Source organism: Homo sapiens, chromosome 12 (assembly GCF_000001405.40).
Source record: "Homo sapiens chromosome 12, GRCh38.p14 Primary Assembly".
Classification (NCBI taxonomy): domain Eukaryota; kingdom Metazoa; phylum Chordata; class Mammalia; order Primates; family Hominidae; genus Homo; species Homo sapiens.
This window is the reverse complement of record NC_000012.12, coordinates 65,440,678-65,467,990: the sequence shown is the minus strand read 5'-3', so window position 1 is coordinate 65,467,990 and position 27,313 is coordinate 65,440,678. Positions and strand designations below refer to the sequence as shown.

Here is a 27,313-nt window from a genome sequence, read left to right as displayed (position 1 = left end):
CAGAAATGCTAATAGGAATTAAAGTGGTGCTAGTGAATGAGGACAGACTAGTCCTCCTGGACAAGACAAATGGGCAGTGAGGGACGAGAAGCGCTACAAGGCATGACATTTTGGAAAAACTATCCACCCACCCCTATAGAAAGAAAAGGACTGATGAAAAAAAAGTCGTTTTCGAGGGTCAGATATAAATGCTTTTAAAATTAATACTAATTGAAGTTTTCTCACTAAAAGTTCCAAGGCAGTGGTTAAGCACAAGAATCACATGGAGGGCTTTCTAAAATGCAGATTGCTAAGGCCCCAGCCCAGAACTTTTGATTAACTTGTATTTCTGGCAAGTTCCCAGGTGATGCTGATACCTCAGTGTCTGAGGACTACACTATGAAAAGCAGTGCTCTAAGGTATACTACATAAAGTTGCTGGCCTGTGAATTTTAAGATACCAGGAGTATGACTTAAAGAATTGGCTGAAGAACAAAAGTCTTCATCATCCCACTTCTGCCTCCTAAAGTAAATAAATCAACAATACAAAACAACTCAACATTTCAACAACAAATAATACAATACCAAAACTTATCTGTAGAGATGGCTTTTATCAGTGAAATCATCTGTAAGCAGTGGAAAGCTCCTAATATACTTCCACAGAGAACAACCCTCAATGATAGTGTAAGTTTCCTGTCAAATTTTTTAACAGAAGCCAAGGCATCAGCGTGGTATCATTCCTGCATTTTTACCCACAGAGTTTTATGGTGGAACTCCCAAATCCATATTTTAAGCAAGAAACATACACAAGCTGCTGAAGATTTTGCTGAGGTGAGGTGAAGGTTGAGTAATTCTGCAAATGTTTCCCTTTCCTCCAGTCTTTCAGATCCCTGGAGGCCTCTCCCAGGGCCTGTGGTGTGGAGAGTTGGACTTGACCCTACTGTAAGAGACCCAACTTCCAAAGACTGCATCAGATGAAAGGCTCTCCATATAGACTACAGACTTGTCAGCTGGTTAAGGAGGCAAACAGAACAGTCTGCTACAAACTCCAGTCCATGTATCTGTGCTGAAAATAAAAGGAGTCTTCAGGAATCAAAGAAGAAAATATTTTTATAAAGAAATTTTATTGCATAATTCTTGTATACAATAAACATAGGAAAAGGGTTTTTAATGAAAATTCATGTCATTTTTCAAAAGTGTTGAACTGTCTGGAGAAAAATTATTACAAAGCTATCTAAGGCAAAAATAATATTTAACCATCTAAACAAAAGATAATCCCCTTTACCATTTGTTTTGTATTTAAAGCAAGACATTTTAAACACAAGTAATACGGAGAAGTTTTCAAATTGCTACGTCATTTGCATTAAGAATTTAAATGCATCTAAGAAGTGAAGAGTTTAAACACATGGGAATGTTCTCTAGTAACAGATATTGCTGCTTTCTTCAGATCCATTCTGCTTGAATGTAAGGCTATACTTTTTGCACACCAACAGAATTCTGCATCTTCTAATGGTACAGTAAGAGCTGGAGTGCAGAGAGGGAAAGTCCCATGCACTTCCTATGTTAAATGGCATAACTCCCACAGATCACATACACCTTGCCATATTGACTCAGTTCATTGCACTCCATATCCTGCAAAAATAAATCTAGTGCTTGACAGCTGACATTATTGCTCACTGACGTTTTAGTAATATATTTCTTTCACATAAGACAGAAATATACTGAAATTTGATACCACTTAAACCCAAAAGCAATCTGGAATTAAACCACATGCATACACCCCACTTTTTTTCAATAGATGTTGCATTTTTCTTAAAGTCGATCCTGGAAAATGTGGTAGAAGAAAAACTGGCTTTCCTTGAAACAAAGACTAAGGATTAGAAAAAGAGGGGCTTTTTTTTGAGTGAAATGTTAAGCCCTACGATATAAATGAAGGAACAATGACAATCCAGTCTCTGTGGAGAGGGAAGAGGCCTCTCACTGATCCTCCTTGTCTACCTCAACACTGTGGCCCGCGTCCCACGGACCCCAGGGGAGGCTATCCTACAGAGCTGGAGCAGCCGAGAGGTGCTGTGTGTGCCTCTGAAGGATGGGCTGGAGGCTGTGGCAAAGCCCTGAGAGACCTATTTCTTTGGCCACCCCAACGTGGAATCCTGGGGTCACTGGGAAATACTAGGGCTTTCTCTGTGAGATTGGGAAAGACTTCTAGGATGGTCTGGACGCTGATGGCTGAGGTCTGGTCTTAAATTTTACACGTCATTTCTAGAGAGACGTGAAGCCTACGAATTCCAGAGTGAACCCAGGGCCTGGGGTGAAATGTCTTGGAACCTGAGGGAACATCTGGATGCTCAGATAGAAACCTCTTATCTGAGCATCCAGATAAGACCAGAGCTCATCTGGAATCAAGTGTACATGACTATAAAGAGTCCACCGGGATGTCAGGCTTCTTAGAGAGGTGCTTGTAGAGAGAGACATGTAGGAATGTGGACATGGCCACACTGACGCTGTTTGTCACAGATTTTCATTCTAATTTCTTGTTGTTTCTTTAAAATTGTCAAATGTCCCTCTTTCTTTTTTTTCTCTTAGTGCTTACAAGGAAAGCTGTCAGTCTTCATAAACTTTCAAAGAGTTACAAAAATACGTATTTTTTAAACTACAATTCAAGATTAGCATCCAAACCTACAAACATGATGTACATTCGTCACACACCATACAACCTTCACACCTGGCTACAGCAATGTTGACTTACATCACCATTGTTTATACTTGTGAAAACTTTATTGTGCACAGTGACATCCATTCCGCCAGACTTAATGTTATAAAGCAGCTGAGCAGAGCTTCTCAAAGTAAAACTAGCCGTGTTGCTACAAAGGGAAATTCTGGCTCTTGGCCCAACTGTTTCCATACCAATCAGCTAAGTCAGCCTCCTCTCTGCTTCTTTCCATTTCAAATGCCTGGGCTTTGGCCTTTGAGGCAATTAGAACCAGATCAGTTTAATTTTACAACACTGATCTCAACTGTATAGCAATATAGTGAATTTGCCCTGAGAGTATCAATACATTTTACAAATATTATGAGTCCCAGTTTATGCATGAAGAAATAGGCACAGAGAGGCTACATGGCTTGTCCTTTGTCACACAGAAGATTATGTTGAGTATGAAACTTGAGCTTCCGTTTTAGCTTTCCATGTGAATGCCCATGTCTCTCCAGAGGTCACCTGGAGCTCTGTGCACAAGGGCCACCCCACTTGGATTCTGTTTGTTACTTGTACTGCCCTGTCAGTTTTTCTGCCCAGCACTGAATTTTTCAGTACCCAAGACTTCATCCTTGATCTTCTCTGCTCTCTCTCATTCCTGCTGCCTTGATGAAGTGTGTTGCCCCTAATATTTTATTTTACACAGTGGAATTTGTGCCCTTCCAGCTGCAGCTGCTTTTAGGTGTGGAGAGAAGGACTTATAAAAAGGCGATGGACAGGCGTTCTTCTTTTTGAATTTTAGACCAAGTGGGGCTCAATATTTTACAGTTGTCTTACATTTGAATGCTGCTTTCTTTTTCTTTTCTTTTTTGACAGGATCTCACTCTGTTCAGGCTGGAGTGCAGTGGTATGAGCTCAGCTCACTGCAACCTCCGCCTCCCAAGTTCAAGCGATTCTCCTGACTGAGCCTCAGGAGTAGCTGGGACTACATGCATGCGCCACCATGCCCAGCTAGTTCTTATATTGTTATTATTATTATTTTTTGAGATGGAGTGTCACATTGTCATGTAGGCTGGAGTGCAGTGGCATGATCTCGGCTAACTGCAAGCTCCGCCTTCCGGGTTCACGCCATTCTCCTGCCTCAGCCTCCTGAGTAGCTGGGACTACAGGTGCCCACCACCACGCCTGGCTAATTTTTCGTATTTTTAGTAGAGACGGGGTTTCACCATGTTAGCCAGGATGGTCTCCATCTCCTGACCTCGTGATCCACCCGCCTTGGCCTCCCAAAGTGCTGGGATCACAGGCGTGAGCCATTGCACTGGGCCTCCAATGCTTTCGATGGAAAATAAAATAAAATAAAGGCCTAACAGTGTGGTAATGTTTACTTCTCTGCCACAACACTCAGTATGCCCCTTTGGATCTGGCAACAATTTAACATAAGGAAAGACTTTAGACCTTCACACCCTTTCAGTGAGAAAAAAAAAAATGACCTTAGCTCAAACTTTCCACAAAGCTGAACAGTCTCATTAAAACATCACTCCAACCTTATCTTAGGTGGGTCTGTGCAAAGGCCTCAAGGCCATGTGTCTTGCAGGTCTCCATGCCCTGCACTGCCCAGCTCTGGTCTCTACACTGCAGAGGAGATCTCTATTTTCATGTTTGAAGACCATGAACCCTCTGCTTCTGAATCAAAGGGGGAAAAACTGCAAAAGAAGCCATGTGCTCAAAGAAAAGAATGCCAAAGGGTATAAGTGGCTTGTGAAGAAGTTTCACAAAGCTGTCTCCATTTGCTAAAGCTATAAACAGTTCTTGATCTAGTCAATTGCAAAATACATGGATGGCCAGGGCTTCTGTTTAAGCAAAAGAAGAAAAAATATCAATAGCACAAAACTGCCCTTATAGTTTTTGAAAAAATATATCTATTAAGATAACAATTTTGATTTTTTTAATAAGCTGTGCATTAAGTACACTTTGTTTCCATCACTCTCCATTACTCTAGAGCTCCGCTTTGTCTGCCTGGGCCGGGCTGGCGACCCCACTGCCTCCCTCGGCGGTGCCACTGCTATCCGCAGGTGTAAAAGACAAGGCAGCCGAATTTATGCAGTATCTTTTCCCAGTTGGACGAGGCCCATCATCAAAAATGTGCCCAAGGTGAGCACCACACTGAAAGAGAAGAACAAAACGTCAGGGAAAAGCATGTACAAAGCAGGCTTTGAGAGGAATTCACATTAAGCAGTTTAAATGGATGACCAGCCTGTAGAGAAATGAAGGAAACCATCGTGGATGATTTCTAATCCGCCTGTCAATAGCCGCAAAGATGGTTTCTGGCAGGCTTTGCGCCACATGCTGAGAACAAAAAACACTAGAATTGTGCATATCAGAAATCATTTAGGAGCCACGTATTTTTTGATCTGTGAAGTCTCTCAGCCAGCTGAAAAATGACTGCAGTAATTTTATGAATCAAGTTGACCCTTGATCTTCCCTTGTAAGAAACATGGCAGCATAAAATCTTTCCCCCGGCATTACTTTTGGCTTTGGATGGGTGGGTTTCAGATATGCAGAAGTCCACTGAAAAGATACTGTTTAACTGGCCATGACAGAGGTGATGTTTGCTTTCATGGGCAGTAAAACTTAACATCAGACAAGTATTGGATGTTCTTGGAACCCAGCGAAGCAATGGCAAGGCTCAATAGATTTATGTCACAGTCACCAGGGCTGCAAATGTAGCAAAAGGAAACATCTCTAGCACACACAATTGTTTTTTTCCTGGCTTCCAACAAGTAGTGTCATGCTGGCTTCTTTATCCAAATGAACTCTAATATAAAGAAAAGCAATAAGCTGTTTAGCTAAAATCAATTTTACTGACTATTCAAAAAGCTGGGGAAGAAGAGACCTAAGGTCTAGACAGAGGCAGAAGGAACATCATGTTGGTGTTTGAGAGAAATAAAGCCCAGAGAAAGTTTCTCCAAAAAGGCTGGCTCAGTGAACACCCCTACACTAACTGCGTTGATGCTGGGTACAGCTCCAGGAGATGAAGGTACATGTCACACTTAGATATCTACTGCCCTTTTCCATCAGGGATGGGGCGAACGAGATGGAGACACTGGTGCACCATATTCAAGCAGGCTGTGAAAATCCATCATTTATCATGGATCAAAGAAACCAAAGCCTGGGGTAAATGACTTCCATTCATTCGTTTATTAATGGAGTGCCTGCTATATGCCAGGCACTGTTTTAGACTCTGGAGTACAGGCAACAATCCCTGGCCTCATAGAGCTTACATTCTAGTGGGAGAGACAGACAGTACACAAGAAAACAAGTGAACTATAAAGCATGGAAGGTAGAAAGCAATGCTAAGGGAGCAAAAAAGGAAGGTGATATGAAATGTTAGATAGGGTGGTCAGAAGAGGCCTACCTGGGGTGACTTTGGAATAAGGACCTGGAAGAAGTGTATCTCTAGGGGAGGGCATTTCGAGAAGAGGGAAGAGTCAAGATTTAGGTAAGAGTATGAGAGAAAAAGCATATCAATGATTTGTTAATTCTCACTGTGCTGATTTGGTGTATAAAACACTTATAAGTTTCAAGGAAAGAGTATGAATTCACAAGGGACTGGGGATGAGACACCAAATGGAGATGAAGAGAGAAAAATGAGAGAAAGTGCTCATTACAATGAAAAGCACTAGAATCTTAGTTTCCCTGTTGAACATGCTAAGCTCAATTCTCAAGTATTCCCTAGTTATTAATAAATAGCAGAAATAGCAACTTTGACTGTATGGCACTTCCATGTTAAAAGTGCATTCTCATTTCACTGCCAGCAAACTCTGTCAGTTTATTAAAGAGCTAAAAATGAACCCTGAACTGATTTGATCTATTGCCTAGAAAATATGAAACAGGCCTAAAAAACAAATCTTGTATTATTTTACCACATTCGATGCAGGTTTAGGTAATATCAAGGCTGACAGGTCAGACTGCTTTTCCTTTCTATAAACAATTGATGCCAAATTTTTAGGCATCCACAGCTAAGATGAACCAGTAAAAATACATATGCTTGCCCAACGGACACAGGAAACACCCATTTCTGCCTACCAAAATAGTCAAGGTGCTGTCCAACAGGAACCAGTGCTCTCAGTGACCAGTGTGTGTGCACAATTACTGATCTCAGATGCAGCTCCAGCACTTGGATCACTTGGCATTTAAGAGATGAAGTTTTCATATACCTAAAAGCCTTAGGGGTGTGTGTGTGTGTGTTTAATGAGAGAATGCAGCTATCTGGGAAAAATAAATGATATTGCCTTTGCTAATAATCTCTTGAGCATCTTTAGAAAATATTTCTATTTATTCTACACCAAAAATAAAGCATAGTGAGGATATATTTGAAGGTGTTTAAGAATGAGTTATATGGTCTTAATTTCCCAAATCATATTTTAAAAATCCAAATTACAGTAATTGAATCTGTTGAACTGGGTGAGTTTTCAACCTGTAGTTTCATTTGCTAATCTGGTACTAGTATTCTGGTTAAATAGAAAGGAAAACACTGATTCTAGGTGTGTCCCTAATCCAAGGCAAAAAAAAAAAAAAAAAGTGAGGAAGAGAAATTATAGTTAGAAAAAGACTATGAAAACTATTTGCTAACAAATATATGGGTTGAGGATGGGGGTAGAAAAATCCTCAGAAACGGTTTGAGTCCCCTGAAAATGATAGTTATGGCTTCATTATACTTGCCACAGGGTGTTCTGGAAGAGTCATAGCAGCCTTAGGTTACTAAGGGAAGAGCATCATCTCAAAACATAGAAAGGTGTTCATCTGTATCTGTGGCACCACATACATCCCCGCCCCACTGCCGGCAAAGCCATTTGTCTGAGGGAAGCCTAACCACGCAGTGCCATTCGAGCCTCCTCCCAGGTAAACCTAGTCTCCCAGAAAGGACTGTTACCCGGTTTCTTTGAAAAGCGCACAAGCCTTGAAGGCTCCTCCCTGAGAGTACGCGCACGGAGCCCATTCTTTGCAGCTTCTAGCCTTGGGAAAGCTGGGAGGATAAATGGAAGTTGCCAGAGGAGCATTGTTTCTTTAGCTGCCTGCAAGCTCTGCCTCCCAGGCCCCAGCCAACTGGCAATGTGTTGGGGTTTCTCAGTACACCTGGTTGTAACTGAAACAAACTGGTTGCTCGATGAAGAAATCTCTGAGACCTGCTGTTAATGATTTATTTCAGGATAGAATCTTTAGTGTGCATTTTGAATGTTGTTTTTAATGGTTATGTGTTTCTTTATTTCACAGGTAAATGTACCTGAATATACTGGTCTTCATTCTGAAGAGCATCAGATGATTGTTCAAAAGAAAAAATTTGAATTCTCACAACAATCCTTTATCACCTAAGCCTCCCACTCAGAAAAGCTGGCAGCTAAAGAACCTGCAGAGAACCAAGGGAAAGGACCCCCTAAAATAAGTGTTTGAGCATCAAGTTTAACATAATTCCTTAAAATCTGACTGCAGTTCTCAATTGTATACATAAGAAACACAAATAGTGTATTCAACACAGTTACATTTTTCTGCACTGATGTATTTCCCACTGTCTTAGAGGTTTTTCTCCTAGCTATTCCTAGGATGTTTGGGCTTTATTATTGTCATTTTCTCTTAAGTGTTTGATCTATGAAATGAAGCATTTTCAAAGCAGGGCTTTTACACTTGGACACATGGGGCAGGATGGGAAAAGTTTTAAGAAGAAAAGCAATTTACTTTGCCAGTAGTATTCTGTTTTCTCCCACTGTTATTGAAGACACTTGTGTGTAAGTGGGGGCTTTTTTTCCTCTGTGCTTGTGATATTAATCTTTTGCCAAGGAAATGACTGTGAAGTCACCAGTTTAGCATTATGATTTTACTGAAAGATCAAGAAAAAGAGAGATGGGCTGTGAGTCTGAAGCCCTATTGTAACACATGTGTATCTTTAATCATCAGCAATATGTGAGTTGTCATCTGTAGAAGATTAATAAGGTTTGGGGTTTTTACCAAAAACTGCTTAACTTTTGAAAAATACTTTCTATTGGTGCATATTTACCTTTCTGTTGATTTGGCTGACTTAGAACAAATTAATAATGATCTTAAACAAACTTAAGGGACTATACCATAGACTCAAGCAGTAATAGCAGCACTCATAAATAGACTCCAACGTGGGTAAATTCAGAGATCTGATGGTTTCCTTAAAAAAATATTACAAAAAGTTAAGTGATTTATTAGTCTCCCATTTGCTCCAGCTGGAGGATTTTGATCTGAAGAAGGAAGAATTCCCCAAGTATTCTAGAAGGAACTTACTTCACTGAACTGCAGGTTAAACTGTGGAAATCTTACTTCTTTGCACTGAATTTAAACTCCTGACAAAGCGTTGCTTAACAGGCTGGGGTTGGAGGATTAGGGAGAGGCTGTTGAATAATTATTCATAGTAGTCAGTGAAACTGGAATAGAAGCAATGTATTTTATCACTAGTTGAAAATATAAATTAAATCAAGGAAAATTCTTTATAGCTGAAAATTGTTACAAGATGGCTGCAGCTGGAGGGAAAATACATGTGCCCACCAAAGCGAGTAAATTTAAGATGAAGATCCTCTTTGGAAGAGATAACTGAAATGTAATTCCTCAATTCAGTAGGTGGAATAACAAAAGAGAACAAGTAAAATTGCAACAGAAATCAGAATATAACAGGGTACCCATAAGCAACAATTATAATGAAGACAGTGAAGAATCTCTCCGACCCTTGCTTGTTTTCAGTGCTGTCAATGCAAAGATTAGGCAGTGTGCTGTTTCCTACACAACAATTCTTTTAGAAGAACCTCACTGCAACACTTCTAGAAAAAGTGGTGATAGGACTGAACCAATCTGAACTCTCTCAGTAAATCTTTACTAAAAACATTATCTGAGAAGTCACTGGACACATGGACAAACCTCTTTACAATGTACTGTAAAGCGGTGGTAGGCTATTGGCTCCCAATGAGTCTACAATTCCTATGCAAATATGAGGCCTAATTCACTGTATGCATGGTGTCATCCCTACCACAATTTTTTTTAAAAAAGGATCCTAAGCACTGAAGTGAGAATTAGGTAGGAACCAAAAGAACAATGAAATATTGCCATATTGCCAAACTGCTGATCAGGTTGAGTTGATTCAGGTTTTGTCCATGAAGGCTCAGTTCATTTGTAGAAGTTGGCAGTTAAAGGTTCTTCGTATTTAGATATTCCATCTTTACCAAAAGGAAAGAAATACACCACATAACACATCCGACTGAAAATGTCTACAACACACTAAAAGCATCTAATAGATTTTTTATAACACAAACCATATTGAGGCAACTCAGTCCAGAGAAAAGACAAGCCACGTAAATTAAGAATACAACAAGAATTTTAGAAAGAGAGCAAACCAGAATAGTTTCCCACATTATCTCACCAGCAAAATAATAATAATAATAATAAAATAAAACTCTTAAAAAATGGGAGAAGCTGGCTGCATAAATGTCTTCTTTTGAGAAGTGTCTGTTCATATCCTTCACCCACTTTTTGATGGGTTTGTTTTTTTTTTTCTTGTAAATTTGTTTAATTTCTTTGTAGATTCTGGATATTAGCCATTTGTCAGATGGATAGATTGCAAAAATTTTCTCTCATTCTGTAGGTTGCCTGTTTAGTCTGATGATAGTTTCTTTTGTTGTGCAAAAGCTCTTTAGTTTAATTAGATTCCATTTGTCAATTACACCATGGAATACTATGCAGCCATAAAAAAGGATGAGTTCATGTCCTTTGCAGGGACATGGATGAAGCTGGAAACCATCATTCTCAGCAAACTAACACAGGAACAGAAAACCAAACACCACATGTTCTCACTCATAAGTGGGAGTGGAACAATGAGAACACATGGACACAGGGAGGGGAACATCACACACCAGGACCTGTCAGGTGATTGGGGGCTAGGGGAGGGATAGCATTAGGAGAAATACCTAATGCAGATGATGGGTTGATGGGTGCAGCAAACCACCATGGCACGTGTATACCTATGTAACAAACCTGCACGTTCTGCACATGTTTCCCAGAACTTAAAGCATAATAAAAAATAATAAAATAAAATAAAATAAACGGGAGAAGTTCTGAGCAGAAGAAGAGACTACATGAACTGAAAAACTGTAAGGTAAAAGAAGATAAACAGATAATGAAAAAATAGTGCTAAAAATGAGAAACTAGGAAGTAAAATACAAGTGACTGCTCTAGCATGGGAACTACTAAATCTTTTATTTTATCAAGTCAAGGTAAAAAAAGATGCCTGAGAAAAAGGAAAATTTTAAAAAAAGAAAGAAAATTATAAAACAAAAGGAAAATAAACGTGAATGGAACACACAAATAAAAGACAGAGAAATTGAAATGAAAGATACCCAGTCCACTTGAATTCAGTACGCTGTTTTTGTGCTTAGGTGGCAGACACCCCCTCCTCCATCCACAAGGGCAAGGGTGTGGCACACATACCATTCGTTAGTGCTGGAACCTCATTCTCTCCTGCATAGAACTTACTTTACTCCAAAGCGTGTATTTTCATACATGCCTTAGCGGAACAAATTCCTCTCCCTCTTTTCTTTAAATTTAAGAGTTCTATTTAAGAAAGAGTCAAACACTTTCTAAATATGAAAAGTGAAGGCTGTGGAAAAAGAAGCCAAAAGGGAGCAGGTCAGTGTTGGTTCATCACACAACTGTTAGGAAAGAACAGGAACAGTCACCTTGGGCTTTAACTGAGGGGCCAACAGCTATGCTTGGTTTAGCCTGACTTCTTTTAGGAATGTTGCCTAATTTTGGCATTGTTTGTGGGTTTCATTTCTCTTTGGTCACTGTAGGACATCTTCATAATGATCTTTCCTAGACTACTACTGATGTTATCTATGTGACTGGCACAGAGAAAGAAAGAAGCTTATTCCAACAGTGAATTATAAGAATTTGTCACAAAGAGGTTAGAAAGTAGGGCCATAAGTAAAGTTAATATCTTATGCTTCATTTTTCTGTGCCTTTTAAATTTAGTTTTCATAAGATTCAATGTTTGAAAATGGGTTCTGAGTGAAAACGAGTTAAAACGATCACGTAACAGCATTTGTAGCTTGAAAAAGAAAATAAAAGAAACAACGATTAGTCTTAAAAGAGGTTTACTAAATACTGTGTACCTAAGTTACAAATTAATGTAAGCCATCCTACTTATAGTTTACCTTTTTGTGACAGTTATAAAATCATCAATCAAATTTAATTGAATTTAAAACTAAATTGCAGGCTGGGCACGGTGGCTCATGCCTGTAATCCCAGCACTTTAGGAGGCTGAGGCAGGTGGATCACTTGAGCTCGGGAGTTCAAGACCAGTGGGGCAACATGGTGAAACCCTATCTCTACCAAAAATACAAAAAATTATCTGGATGTGGTGGTGTGTACCTATGGTCCCAGCTACTTGGGAGGTTGAGGTGAGAGGATTGCTTGAGCTCGGCGGGTGGAGGTTGCCGTGAGCCAAGATCATGCCACCACACTCCAGCCTTGGCAACAGAGTAAGATCCCATTTCAAAAACAAAAAAAACCCCAAACTATATCGCATTAAGCCAACTGCTGGAAAATCATGAGATTTTTAAATTTTAATGACTCTTTTCAACCTGTCTATCTATCTGGGCACCATAAAGAGCTCTGGAGAGTACCCCAATTCAAGTCTCAGCTCTGCCACTTAAATCCACATAAGCTGACCCAAGTTTAATTGCTCTCTTTGTGCCTCAGTTTCCTCAACTGTAAAATAACAGAGAGAAAAAAGGACCTACCTCAGAAGGTTATGGTGAGCACTAACCAGAGGAGCTTTTAAAAATGCTGCTCCCCACACTAAACCTGTCCAATTACATTAGACCCTCTGTGGGTGAAACCCAGCACCAGAAAGTTCCACTATCACCATCAGAGACTCCACTCTGAGAAACAAGAGTGAGCTGAAAATGTGATTCAGATAAAATATGAAGTCTAATTTTCAAGAGAGAGAGTAGTCCTCACACTTGAAGGACAGGAGACTTGCCAGTCTTTTTTTTTTTTTTTTTAATAAAAACAAAAATTCATCAGAAGGTTAGGTTCAAACTAACCTCCCTCCCTACTTGGTAGTAAATATGCCACCTACTCCCTAAACATTTTGTGCCTGGTGGAGGGGGTTAAAGAAAAATGGATAAAGGGCAGGTAAAGAATGCTGAGGGAGGCCCATATGGCAATCACTTTGCTATTACAGCTGCCTGATCATGCTCCTGTACCTCTGATATGTCCAACAGATTCCCCAACAAAATACCCTGTGGTGTCAATAACTTTCAATGCCACAATATTGCAGACTTTACATTTCACTTATTTAAAGCAGGTTGAAAGAACAAGATTGCCTTCCATAGAATATGCAGCTGCTCTTATTCCATGTAGATGGAGATTCTATGTCTCTGTGTTTAAGCACAAAATACCCACAAGTTCAAGTCTCTCGATTGTGGGTGTCAGATTAACTATTTTTGCCTCCTCCTCAACACATGCTCATTTGCTTCCTTAGAGCCAGCATTAATTTGGTTAAAGCAGATGGACAGAACTAATTAGGAAATTATTGGAAATGAGGATGTCTGTATATCAGGAGAAGCAGAAAAGGAATTACCTTATCTCATGTAGCCAACCTACCACTGAACTTTCACTTCCTACAGCCTCTCTTCAACCACCTTCCTCACACCCACCTAAGAAAAGCCATTTCTGAGGTCTTCCTTGATTGTGTTTGGATCACTGCCAGTAGAGGCATTCTGACTGAACAGTGGGTACACAGAACTGCAAGGAGAGGGAGATTATCAAAATATCAGGTTATTCAAAGCCACATAATGAAATCTTCATATGCCCCAAGAACAGCCCACTCTTCAATTTACTGAGCCAATTGAAGATGATATTTTTCCTACCAATGATTTTGTTTAATAGTGGTGAAGCCAATAACTGACATTTTATTTATTTATTTATTTATTTATTTATTTATTTATTTAATTTATGAGACAGGGTCTTGCTCTGTCTCCCAGGCTAGACTACAGTGGCATGATCACAGCTCACTGCAGCCTCGACCTCCTGGGCTCCAGTGATTCTCCTGCTTCAGCCCCCCTGAGTAGCTAGAACTACAGGCATATGCTACCATGCCCTGCTAAGTTTTAAAATATTTTCTGTAGAGACGAGGTCTCACTAGGTTGCCCGGACTCGTCTTGAACTTCTGGCCTCAAGTGATCCTCCCCACTTGGCCCTCTCAAAGTATGGGATTACAGGCTTGAGCTATCATGCCGACCTTAACATTCCACTAGACTTGCTAAACACCTGAACATAGGCATCCATCGGACTTCATATAAACTTCGTCATGCTTGTCTGTCCTTCTTGTGACCAGTCGCTTGGCCTTAGTTGCTATATTTAGCACAACCAGGAGTCCTGAAAGCAATGTATTGGGTTTTCAGAAAGGATGAACTCACCTGAGAGCAGCTTGTTTCCACCCTGTGCATCCCATAGGAAAAGTCATCTGTGAATGTGATTGCCTCAGAATTGATCACATCGTGGAATGAAGGCCAACCTGGGACACAGCAGGCACAAGAATCAAAGCAGAGAGGAGAGATACACAGCCTTGGGTTAGAATGCATTTTAAAGAAATACTAAGCAAATAATGAAAATCCTTAGTGTATGTTTAACTTTTCAACCTGAAAAAAGAAAGGTCAAAAGCTGAAGGAAAATATATTTTGCAAGAGTACAGTTATTTTTTAACCCTTTCCTCATATTCAGATTACAGTTGCATTAGGGTTTGGTGCTTCATGAGACATTCTTAGACCATCCAATAGTTTTCTAGAGTATCCTTGAACTTAGAAGGCTCTCTCTCACCACTCTTTCTCTTGTCTTCAGAGTCACTCAGCATGGCCCTGAAGCACTATGAATCTTCCATTACGATGTTTTCCAAAACACAATCAATTGGTCTGGCTGTTAACTTTTCAACTATTCCATGCCTCCTTAGAAAGCAAGCTTTTTCAGTACCTAGTTTGGATAGTTAAAATTTTGTTTAACAAAACGACTATCCTGTTGTCACCATCCTCATCTAATTTCCTGGAAAAAGGGTTATCTGGAAATCATAGCATCTATCTATTTTTATGGGCAAGAAGCTTGTTCACTTCATAAGAGACTCATAGAGCATCAGTCCTCAGACATCTCTGGGCAGCACCTTATCTCAAAGAGCATCTAGTTCAAAGTTTTATTTATTCTAGTGATTTTAAAAATATATGCACACTTTAAGAAACTTGATGGTAAATGGATCATAGGATTGTACAAATGTTTTGAGTGTACAGTCAGGTTTTATGTTCAGTACTTATGGGCATGTTTTTATGTTTCCCCAAAATATGTCTGGAGTTACTGAGCTGAAGCCTGAATCCCCAAAATGATGAAAGAGGGGCGATGTTGCTGAAGTGCTGGTGCAATTTTTTTTTCTTTTTCACAAGTCACATTTACTTCTGCAGAAAGGAAGAAGCCCGTTAAGAACCTGGTGCTTTGTGTTAATACACCTATTGAAAGAAAACAGAATGCAAACTTCAACAACATGATTTTTAGTTTCAAACAAAACAGATTAGGCCAAATCCCCAAAGCTCCCTCATCCTCCACGATGCAAGAGTATAGTATTGATAGTCAGTGCTAGATTTAACACCAAGAGTGTTAACACCTTCTAATTCCTTGATTTGAGCTCAAAATTGCTACAAAGCACCAGGAAAACCTTAAACTTCCAGACTATAACCTTTCACAAAAATTAATTATGCTGAGACATACTAGCATTCTTAAGAAAATGAATTTCTTCCCATTTTCTAAATTCTGAAGAGAATTTGAATATATTCTAGGCTATAATATTTGGTTTACAATGGTTACTTGACACATTTAGGGGTTCTTCTTTGTTAATAATAGAAGTGCCAATTGCTAGTGAAAACAGGTTTAATGGTGATATTTGAGGACATTGAAAAATAAAGTCATTTATCTATGAAAAGAAAGAAAATATTCTGTATTTTCCTTTTTAACCTTCAAGGGCATAACTCATTTAATTGCAATTTAAGGCAACTGATATTGTGGGAGGGACACACTTGATTTAGTAGTAAACAGGTTTAGGAGTTTCATTGTTGTATTAAATTTACCATAAAGCTACCTTACCCCAGCACCACATAGTCCTATTTCTAGAGTTCAAAATAGGTATGGAGAAATAGATATACACATGTATATATTTTTCCTTTATGCTACATTGCATCTTATATTTATTTATCTTGTTCTAGGCATCACCCTGGATTTGTAATTTATTTTCATGCTTTCCTCCCTTACTAGTTAGTGAACACCTTGAAGGCAGAGTCTAAATTCATTGACCTGAGTATTCTCATTGCCTAACACAGTGTCCAGTACAAAGGCACAACTCAAATGTTTCTTAAACTGATTTCCAGTTAGCCTTAAATAAGCAAATGAGATAAACAATTACAGCACATCAGAGAGTTCCACAAGAAAGAGAGAGAATAAAATCATACTCCTTACAGACTAATTTAGGAAATATCAATGCTAGTTTCTCACTGCACTGTCCAACGTGGCTCAATCACTGTGATTACGCCTCTTTATGTGGGGGAGAGGTTTACTTCTTGTGTATTTAGGAGAGGAGAAACATGAAGTTCATAGAGTTCACTCATTTTACAGGGTTTTGGGGGTGGGAGGGAACAGAAGGATAAGTTACTTGCCAAGGTTACACAGGCAGTAAGTAGCAAAGCCAAAACTAGGATATGAATATTCTGACTTTAGGACTCTCTTCTTATGTTCCACTTTCTTCCTCAATTTTTTTCTACCTGAATTAGATATGCACAGGATTTTCCAGAAAACTATATTGAAGAATAGAGCAGGATGAGGGAGGTTGAAACAGAGTGCAGGTCTCAAAAGATTTCAGTGTTTCTGGGAAACTGTTGATGCTTGAATAGTTTGTTGTTTACCATGGCATTATTTAAACATTAGAAGAGACAGTCAAAAATAAAAATAAAAATAAATAAAGATATTTCAAAACTCCCCAAAACTCACAATGTCTCTTTGCCCTGTAGAAGAGATGGCAGTTTTCAAAATGGAATATTCAATATGTCAACCCAAATCCTGATTAGTGGAGATGGACACGAAAAACCACGCTGGAGACTGTAACTCACTGTGGTGGAACGCATTTCAAAAGAGAATCATGGCTAACTTTGGCCAATAAGGTTAACAAAGGAGAATGCTGAGTTGCTTTGCTAGACTTCTCAGAAAAAGTGACATTCTATACAAAGAGTACATCAGAAAGGTAAGTACTTAATGACAATCAAACTAAGAAGGACCTTCCCCCAGTAATAAACTGCCTTATGGCAGAGAAGCCACAGTGATGACAGCACTTTGAAAGCGGAATTCCCTCATCATGTGAAAGTATTTAAAGAAGGAACTCTTCACTGCTGTAAAAATCCTCAAAGGAAACCTTGCCCCAACTCCTAATAATAAGGAAAGTGCTTCAAAGGGTAATAGGCAGAGACTAAAGCAATCTGCGTCTTGTTGAGAAAATTATCTTGAGTAAAAGGGTGGGGGAAGGGGAGTGTGTTTATGTCAGTTTTGACATTAAAGAAAGATCATCCATCCTCCTTTCTCTAGGATTTTCCTTTTGGTCTTCTAACAAAACATTATTTGTTTTGGATGCATTCCATGCACTTTTTAAAAGAAAAGTCATGTGAAAACCTGTATAAACAGACTCAGTTCACCCCACCCCCAATACATCCCTTAGTTTCTATTTGATGAGATTGGATTAGGCCTATTATCATTTCATTTCAAAGAATATAAACTGTACTTTTTAGATATTAGCCTATTATTATCAAGGATGCCTTATTTTCAATAAATAGTTTCACCCTTCAAAGAATTACCATCTCCAGATAGCAAATAAATATATGTAGTACAACTGAAGCAGGCAAGTTGAAATATGGCTGTTCTGCCTCAATTTTATTCACCCATCAGGCCACATTCATCTGCAGATATAACGTCATACTACTCATGTCATGTGAAGCAACTCCAGAATATGCTCATTTTCATCTCAAATATAAGAGAAAGTGATCCAGATTAGTTGTTGTAGCGTCTTTGGTGCTTGCTATATCATCTACACTAGAATGGATTTTTTTTTTAGATTGCAGCATAAATAATCATTCCCCCTCCAACCCATAATGTAGCTTAATAAATCTGTTTCAAGTCTACTTGAGCCCATAATTGAATAATGGCATAGCTCTCCACAAGTAGTATTCTGTTGACAAATTCTAAATGTTTCATGCCAACTGCCTCATAAGTAAAACTTTCTTAGCTCTCCATCCCAATCAATTCCACCTTCTTTAAAAAAATCTGTGAAACATGTTGTTAAAGTTAGCAACAGAGTGTAAACAAGTTGAAGCCAATTCTATCTGTACCATATCTAGAAAATGTGGCCCTCATTGTCCTATTCTTAATTTAACAAGAATTGCTATACAGCTTCCACTTCCCCTAATCCTTCCCCACCCTAAAATAAAAATTAGAAACCTTGCTAGTCAGCTACATGACTCATCAACAGAACCCAGCAGAAACTACTCATGAATGAGAACTTATTGAATTGAAAGGTAATTACACATGTTTTGTTATTTTCAAATGTAAAGTAAGTTTGAACGCAATGAATCCCACTGGGTTTGGGTGATGGGTCAATAATGATGATACATATTTTAGCACAGTTTTGGTGAGACAAGCTGGAGGTACAGGTCTTTATTTGTGTGTGTATCAGTCCTCACAGCTCTCTAATTCCAAGGCCATATTTCAAAATTTGTAGTATTCAGATTATTTGTAGCTGGAATCTGCTAACCTCACTGACCACAATTTACCTTATTACCTAATTCAAAATAAATAATCCAACTCTCTATGTAGTCCCCCTGCTAACAAGAATTGTTTGAAACTTAGAGTCCTGACTCTTGCCAAATTATTTAATATTCACTCTGGGGGGGTGGATCATGAGGTCAGGAGGTCAAGACCATCCTGGCTAATACAATGAAACCCCGCCTCTACAAAAAAAAAAAAAATACAAAAAAATTAGCCAGGCGTGGTGGGGGCTGCCTGTAGTCCCAGCTACTCGGGAGGCTGAGGCAGGAGAATGGCATGAACCCAGGAAGTGGAGCTTGCAGTGAGCCGAGATCGCACCACTGCACTCCAGCCTGGGCAACAGAGCAAGACTCCGTCTCAAAAAATAAAATAAAATATTCACTTAACTGATGCTTCAGGTATAAAGTCTATCTCATTTAAAAAATGATTCTTTAATCCCCTTCAAAGACCCATTTGGTTGCAATATAGTCTTCCAAAAATTTAAGTGGCAATCAACCAAATATGGGCATGTGGTAGAAAATCAAACAAGATGGCTCATAATGAGACATTCCCTGTCAATTCTTCCATACCCACAGGAAACCATGATAAATAGATTTTCTGTTTCTTTAAAAATGTGCTTATGCTGCTGTCTCTTGATTATTTCATTTTAAACCTGTGCTGTCCAATACAGTAGTTATCAGTCATGTTATTGTTTAAATTTGAATTAATTAAAATTAAATAAAATTACAGTTTCTCAGTCACACTAGCCACATTTCAAGTTCTCAGCAGTTACAAGTAGCTAATGGCGACCATATTAGACAGCACAGATATACATATGGAACATTTCCACCAAGATTTCCACAGACATAGAACATTTCCATCCTTGCACAGTGCTGTTTTAGACATTATAAATTCATTTCTTCTTATGAAAGATTAAGATTTAGTACTTATACCTACATAATCTCCCCTCCATTCCCCTTTCCAATCTTTTAATACTCAGGTTATTTTTAATTTCTTTAAAACCTAATTGGGTAATGTCTGCCTCTTGAACTAGAATGTAAGTAAAAATAAAAGCAGGGAGTTTGTTTCATTTACCATTGTACTGGCAACAAACTAAAAAAGTGCCTGCTACATAAAAGGTGTTCCAAAAAAACTATCTCATAAATGAAAAATCGAATGCATGAATATCTAGCTTAAGTAGATATTTAGTAGCTTAAGATAATACCATTCAGCTCCCCACTCTGTAAGACAGCCTTAGCACCCTCATCTTCCCTCCACCTATCCTTTGCCCCACTCCAGTGACCAACCATAATTAAGTCTTCTGTGCTTTTCTATAGATTCTAAGAGCTGAAAACTAATAAACATTATTTGTGTTATTCTGCCAAATCCTTACTGCAACAAGTAATCCTAGGAGACCGAAAATCAAATTGATTTTCCATTTTTTATACAGCAACACTTGTTAAAAGGCATGCCACACTTCTTTTTATTTTTGTTTGGATTATGACTTTATTACACAACTGTACAAACTTCTGTATTCAAAATTTTACTTTTTGAGTTTTTAATGACAAACATTTCAAGCATATGCAAAAGTATACAAATAATGGACTAGGTATCCACAATTTAACAGATGTTCACTGCCCAGGTTTCACAGATACTACCTTGTTTTCTATATTGGCTTCAGGTTTCTTTCTCCCCATCTTTCTCTAACGATTACAGCAGATCTGCCTCTAACCTTGTTCCCTACTCTTATGCCTCCTAGTACTCCAAAGACAATTACTCACCTACCATTCCGACAGTTATTTTGATTAATCTTCTACACATGTCTATATCCAGAAACAAAATATACCATTTTAAATGTTCAGAATTTTATATAAATGACATTGCATTGTAGGTATTTTTTTGGCAACTTATTTTTTCACATTATTCTTACCTCTGGCTTTCTTGGTAACAGTATCATCTTATTTTATAAACAAAGTATCTTTTCAAATATTTCTGAGAATATTAACTAGAGAGTTGTTTTATTTTAGTTTTTCTATGATTCCCTAAAATATCTCTGCTCCTTCTGGGAAATTGTTCTCTTTATCTTGATTTTTAAATTTCAAGCTCTTAGTTTCCTTCATCTGTCTTTGGGGATCTTTGATCAACAGTTCCTATTTAAACATGGAGGCCAAGGTCAGTTATCCTACACATCTGATGGAGGTTTTCTCTGCCATTAGATGTAGTATGGGTTTGTATCCTTAGCAAGCCTTTCCTCTGAATATAAAAGCTGCCTGGGAACTCCAGGACTGCTGTCATCACTTGCTGATGGACAAGGCTTCATCCTGGCGTTCCCTGAATACCTCAATGGGGAATGGTTTACTCTGGAATATCAACACCTCAATAGCAACCCCAATTATCCCAGACAAGCTGTTTAATATCTTAAGAGAGCAGTCTTCCAGGCTTGTTTTCTTGTGGGTAACTAATGATCTGTCATTCTAAATATGAAGATAAGGAAAATGTAAAACTAGTCTAGTTGTTATTTAGACTTTCAGTTAAGCACCTCGTTGTCAGGTCCCCATTTTGCTCTTGTCAATTCTGAGTTCTGAGCCTTTTTGTAATTCTGCTGGGCATCGGCAACAACTCTTGTACATATTTTGGGCTGCAACTTTCTTTAATTGGTCACACCCATTAATGCATTTCCACCCATTTTTTTTTTCTTGGGAAAACTTTGAGCTTCCTTTTCTAAAGGCTCCCTACCCCACTCCAATTCTCTTTGCAATGGATTTCTTCTACTTTTACTCCTCCTACTCCTCCTCTTCTTTTTCTTACTCTCATTTTAAAGATATCTCTTGGGAGAGAGGGGAAACAAACATGTATGCTCAGTTTATCATCTTGAATAAGAAGGCAAGATTTTTTTTTTAATAAACTGCAGACTTTAGTCTCTTCATCTAATATTTCATTTGAAGAAGCAACAAATTTGACGCATCATAATTTTTCTACTAACTACAATTACATTTTAAAAATCTTGATTAAAAATATCAAAATCAGTGTAAGTTTTAGCCGCTTTAACTGGCTCAGATTTAACTCTGTGGCTAAAAACGGATTATGGGTTAGCTGTATGAGATTAACACAAACTTTTATGACATCTGCAATGGCATCTGAGTTAGAATTGGTAGGTCAGAATGGTCTCTTCATTGCCTACTTAAGTGGAAAGGAATTTCTTAGACCACTTTTCAAGTTTATATTTGCTTTGTATTGTTTGAGAATTTCTGTATTTCTTCCCTCCTGCCATTGCAAATATAAGGATGTGTCCCCCATATGCTGATGACATGATTTCATTACTTCAAACCAACAATAGTCTCAAGAAGCAAACTAGTTCAGTCCAGACAAAGAGTAAACATGACAAAAAGAAAATCATTAGTTTTGGCAAACATTCTCCCATGCTTCATTCAGCTTTATTAAGAGGTACCTGAAATAAAAATGATATTTAAAATATTTATCTTGGCTGGGCATGGTGGCTCACACCTCTAATCCCAGCACTTTGGGAGGCTGAGGCAGGTGGATCACCTAAGGTCAGGAGTTCGAGACCAGCCTGGGCAACATGGTGAAACCCATCTTTACTAAAAATACAGAAATTAGCCGGGCATGGTGGTGCATGCCTCTAGTCCCAGCTACCCTGGAGGCTGAGGTGGGAGAATCGCTTGAACCTTGGAGGTGGCAGTTGCAGTGAGCCAAGATTGTGTCACTGCATTCCAGCCTGGGCGACAGAGTGAGACTCTGTCTCAAAAAAAAAAAAAATTATATATATGTGTCTTGAAAAGTAGGGAATTTACAATATACATGAAATTAGCATAAACCTATAGACTCTAAAAATTCATGCAGATAAAAATGCAAATAAAATTTAAATACAATATACTATTCAAAAATTAACTTTATTTTGGTTACCAGTTATCCTGCTTTCTCATCTAGCTGTCCAGGAACCCAGTAGTTGTAAATGGTGGTGGCACTGCTGCCAGGGGCATTCTAGATAAAATGATGATTGGGGGCCACCTGAAGGCTTTTAAGCAGCCTAGTAACATGATCAAATTTGTATTTTAGAAAAATGGTTCTGAAAGCAGACTGGAGGGATTCGGGATAAGAGGGAACATGGAAACGTATATATCAGATGAGAGACTGTACTGGAACAGAAATAATGAAGCTTTAATGGGACTGGGAAGCAGGGGAGAGTTTATAGAGCAATCAAGAGAGCAAAGTTTACTGATTTTGGTGATTGCAGTACATGCAGGGCAGTGAAGAAGGGCAGGATCACATTATTACTAGGTTTCCAGCTTGTGTGACTAGCTGAATCATGCTAGAGATACATTTTTACAGAGAAAATAACAAAATCAGTTTCTTGTGGATCTAGGAGACAAAGGAATATGTGGGCTCAGAAATGAGAGCCAAGCTCAAGATGCAGATTGGAAAGTCATCACAACATAAAAGACAGTAAGGTCCTGGATAAGGATATGTAGGAGGGATGAATATAAACGGAGAGGAGAACCAGGCAGGTATTTAAATGTTAAGCAAAAGAATAAGAGTCAGTAGAGGAAAAGAAAAGAGCATTTCCAGAAATAGGAAGAGGACAAGGGAATCAGGACAGAGTCTGAAAAAGGAGAAAATTGCTTAAGGATGGAGGACAGACAGCAGTCACATAATCTAGAGAAAGGACAAGTTAAGTAAGACCTGAGAGACACTGCAGATTTCAACAATGAGTATTAGATTGGAAAGCATAGTGAAGAAGACAGTGAACAGAGACTACTCTTTTACAACCTGCAGGGAAGGAAGGCTACAGGAAGAACACAATGAGGTTTATTTTAAGATATTTGGAATCAAGGTCCCTATCACTCATCCCATCTTTCTCTGTTTTCTGAAGTGTTCAAATGTTACAATATTACTTTCCTAATGGAATTTTTGCAATAAAATTAGTGATATAAAAATATTTAGACATGTTAAAAAAAACTTAAGCATTACTCAAATGCTCCAAAGGATACTGAACAGAAGCCATATTTGAAGAAAGACTACAAGAATCTTTTTGATTTTTATTTTATTTTTAATTTGTTTGTTGTTGTTCCTAATTATCTTGTGGTCCACCAAACTGAGAGTCAATGGCTGTAATGCCTTAAATGACCATTGTAATCTGTTTTGCTTTTTGACACAAAGTAGGTGCTCAATCAATATGGCTGGAGCTTTAATTCTAGGTCAGGTTCCCAGGTCAAACATGTTTGCAGCACCCAGTAGTACTTTCTTTCCAAGCCATGTATCATGGTTTGCAATTATTTATTTATATGGGTAATTTTTGATTAATGTTTGCTTCTTTCACTAAGTACTATGAGACCATGATTACTTTATTAACTACTACAACTTCAACACCAAGCTCATGGAAATATTTCTTAAATGAATTATAAAGAAAATATCACATATTTCATTATTTACATTATATTTACAATATATGACTGAATTAAAAGGTAATAACTTCCACTTAGAGCAGTCAAAATTACAGAGACAGAAAGTAGAATGATAGTTGCCAGGGGATGGTGGGAAGATGGAAAGGAGCATTATTATTTAGGGGTCCAGAGTTTCCTTTTTACAGGATGAAAAGAGTTCTGAAGTTGGATGGTGGTGATGGTTGCACAACAATGTGAATGTATTTCATACCACTGAACTGTACACTGAAAAACAGTTAACATGCTAATTTTCTTATGTGTATTTCACCACAATAAAAAATCAGAAAAAAAAAATGATGATGACTGCCTATAAGCCAGGATAGAGAACCCTCCCCGGGAACTGAATCAGTGAGCTCCTTGATCTTGGACTTCCCAGCCTCCAGAACTCAGTGAAGTAAATTTATTTTGTTTAAGCACGCACACACAAAAAGATAATCACTTAGCCTGAATATGGCTATCACTGGGTCAAGTGGAAAAACATTTTTAAAAATAGGCAAAGAATTTCTACTGTTTTGCTTTAGACATTTTTTTTACAAATATCAAATTTATCATGTTTACTTTTCCTGCCTATCAAAAATAGTGCATTTCTTCAAAAAATTATTAACAAGTTCAGATGTACAAACGGTGTAGCCTTATCACCCATAATCATTTCAGGCATTTGAATCTGTTTGAGGACAATATGACTAAGGCTGTCAAGAACACTGAGGTGTCCTTGGGCACTGTGAACATCTGGTATCTATTCTCTTTGGAGATTAATAATGTAGCTGTACTGCAGCAAGCTTTACTAATTCCTTTGAGCCCTGCACAACATTTTTAAATGGTTCCAAACACACAGGATCTCTAATTGGTATGGATTTCATCCACAGTTTTCTTGCAATCTCAAAATGTCTCGGCAACTCCTAAGCAGGAATTGACAGGGGCCAGCTTCCCTATTTCCCTTTGTGAAGGCAGCTATTAATAATATTTTTTCAGGTTCAATAAAATTACTGAACTCAAACCATTTCAACCAAAAACCTGGAGAGGGAGATTTTATTTTCCCTGGCCTGAACACTGTCTCTTGCTACTTTAAATCACAGTTAATGTTTTTAAAAATACATCTTACACAGAAGTCAGTTGTAGACCTTTAGCATCAAAGGACCTGAGCTACATCACATGTAACAGCCTGATCTTTAGCCATAATTTCTAAGTGCCATTAAAAAATGTCTCTCAAAATGGTTTCAAATTTAGTGTTGACCTAGTAACCTTGATCCAAAAACATTCAACTTTAGATGATTATTTTATTTTGCTTCCAAAAGCTCTTCAGTCCAGTGAGGCATCCATTAGGAAGCTTCACAAGGAGTTTGAAGTTTGCTTAGAATTTATTAGCTACATCAGACAGGAAGATGGTGATGTGGGTTGCTTGCTGAGCAAAGATTATTTACTGTGCTTAACTGACCTTAAAAATACCAAGTGAGATATAGGATGGGGAAATTCAAAGAAATACAGATTCTACTCCCAGCAACATGCAATTCAGACTAAAAATGAAATAATGATCCATTCAACTGCAGTTCTCAATTAGGGCTATTCACTACAAAGCATTATTTGGGACTCTAAGACAAACTATTACTTACATTTTTTGGTTGGGTACTTATCAAAAATGTCAGAGTAATTCCTCTCATAAATATATGTACCTGATGAAAATGTAAGATTACTTCTGAGGGGCAGTTAAGTCTCAACATTCTTTCCCTTATCTAAATTTTCTCCTGACATTTTTCTCTAACTGAAACCTCTCCAACTTCTGAATAGGCTTTAGATCTTTATTCTATTATATATATTTTAAGTGCTAAACCTGAATTTCCCTGTTTTCATAAATCTTCTATGATCATTCACTGATCTACAACACCTTTTTATGATATGTCAAAACTTAGTCCACCTACTAAAATTTAAATTCTGAAAACCATTCTTGAAAATACAGTTTTCAACTATCTTTAGAAACAGAACAGATTGCTCAGAAAAGCTATTAAGAACAAATATTTTAGGACAAAATAATTACTTAGAATTGTTTATATGACAAATGGTGTTTTGCCTTTGTGGCAGGCAGATACATGGCAAAATTGAAGCAATTTAGCAAATACTGTACATTCCCTAATATATTAAATTTGTTTAATAGATTACATCGAAAAGGCATGAAGGAACCTTCATCGAACCAAAGCATACTCTATTACCACCCCTTCTTTTTAAAATCCTTTAGGGAAATCTTTGCCAACCCCCAATGCTCTATTTTGTCACATATGTATCACTTTCTAATATATCATAACTGTTTATTATGCTTTTTGTCTCCTGTCTTTATTTTCCCAGCTAGAATGTAAGCTCCAGGAAGGGAAAGATAATTGTTTTGTTCCCAGTGTATTCCAAACTCCTCAAATACATTTTGGTTGAATGAATTTTCTATATACGTTCCTGTTACTCTGGAAATCTGGAATTTAAAGACAATAGTAGCTTTGGTTTTAAAATACACAGATACAAGTCTTTGTAGCCGAATTAGTTACAGAGTCTCCAGGTAACTTATTAATATTTGTTGAAGAGTTTAGCACCTGATGACAGTCTTCTCTAAATCCCAAACAACTGCCTACATTCCAGGAAACCTCATTGAAGGTAACCTACTTACCACTCCTCATATTGACAGCTCTAGGAGCACCTCAGAGAACTACAACTAAGTTCATAGAGCCGGGGTCCTGCATCAAGACCTGTAGGTACAAGGAGCCCTTGCAATTTGATGGTTTCAATGGCTTTAAAACTGACCACTGACAAGCTTAAAATGCATTAAAATTAGATGTCATCACATGAAGAGTGTTGAATCTCAGACGGATAAATTTGGCAAAGACACTATGGTACTGTAGTCATATTTAATGTGTCCACCGGACCTCTGTTACCAAAAAAAAATGAAATTCAATAAAGGTCCAAGCATACCCATAATATAATCCATGACCTACACTTTGACATATTATTTTGTCAGTTGGGCAGTAATATTTAAGTCTTACTCCACTAAATGGTAAATGATTAACAGGCAAAAGATATAGCTCCTTAGTACTGAGTAGGCACTAAATAGATAACTTGTTAAATAAGTGAGCCAACCTGGGGCTGAAGAAAATATTAACAAAAATTGTGAAAATGTTATTACAATCAATCAATGTATATATTTCAGATATTTGTAATAAACATCACCTCTCAAGTATTTATTACTACTTATGTCACTAGACCAGAGTAATCCATAGGTTACTATTTCTTGGTAGTATACTGTGGGCACC

The 27,313-nt window shown here is 38.0% G+C and overlaps 1 protein-coding gene and 1 long non-coding RNA gene across 9 annotated transcripts in view; one reads left to right on the top strand and one right to left on the bottom strand.

The window, feature by feature from the left end:
• MSRB3-AS1 (MSRB3 antisense RNA 1) overlaps positions 1-1,174 on the top strand; it is a 175,556-nt gene extending 174,382 nt beyond the window's left edge. The window contains exon 4 of the long non-coding RNA NR_120431.1: positions 857-1,174. This is a non-coding gene — a long non-coding RNA (MSRB3 antisense RNA 1). The remainder of the gene's footprint in view (positions 1-856) is intronic.
• Positions 1,084-27,313, bottom strand: part of MSRB3 (methionine sulfoxide reductase B3) — a 188,225-nt gene continuing 161,995 nt past the window's right edge. For all 8 annotated transcript variants that reach the window (NM_001193460.2, NM_001031679.3, NM_198080.4 and 5 more), the window contains 2 exons: positions 14,166-14,263; positions 1,084-4,836 (listed from right to left, as the gene is read on the bottom strand). In NM_001193460.2, the coding sequence (NP_001180389.1) occupies positions 4,669-4,836; positions 14,166-14,263 (266 nt within the window). In that variant the 3' untranslated portion in view covers positions 1,084-4,668. The remainder of the gene's footprint in view (positions 4,837-14,165; positions 14,264-27,313) is intronic.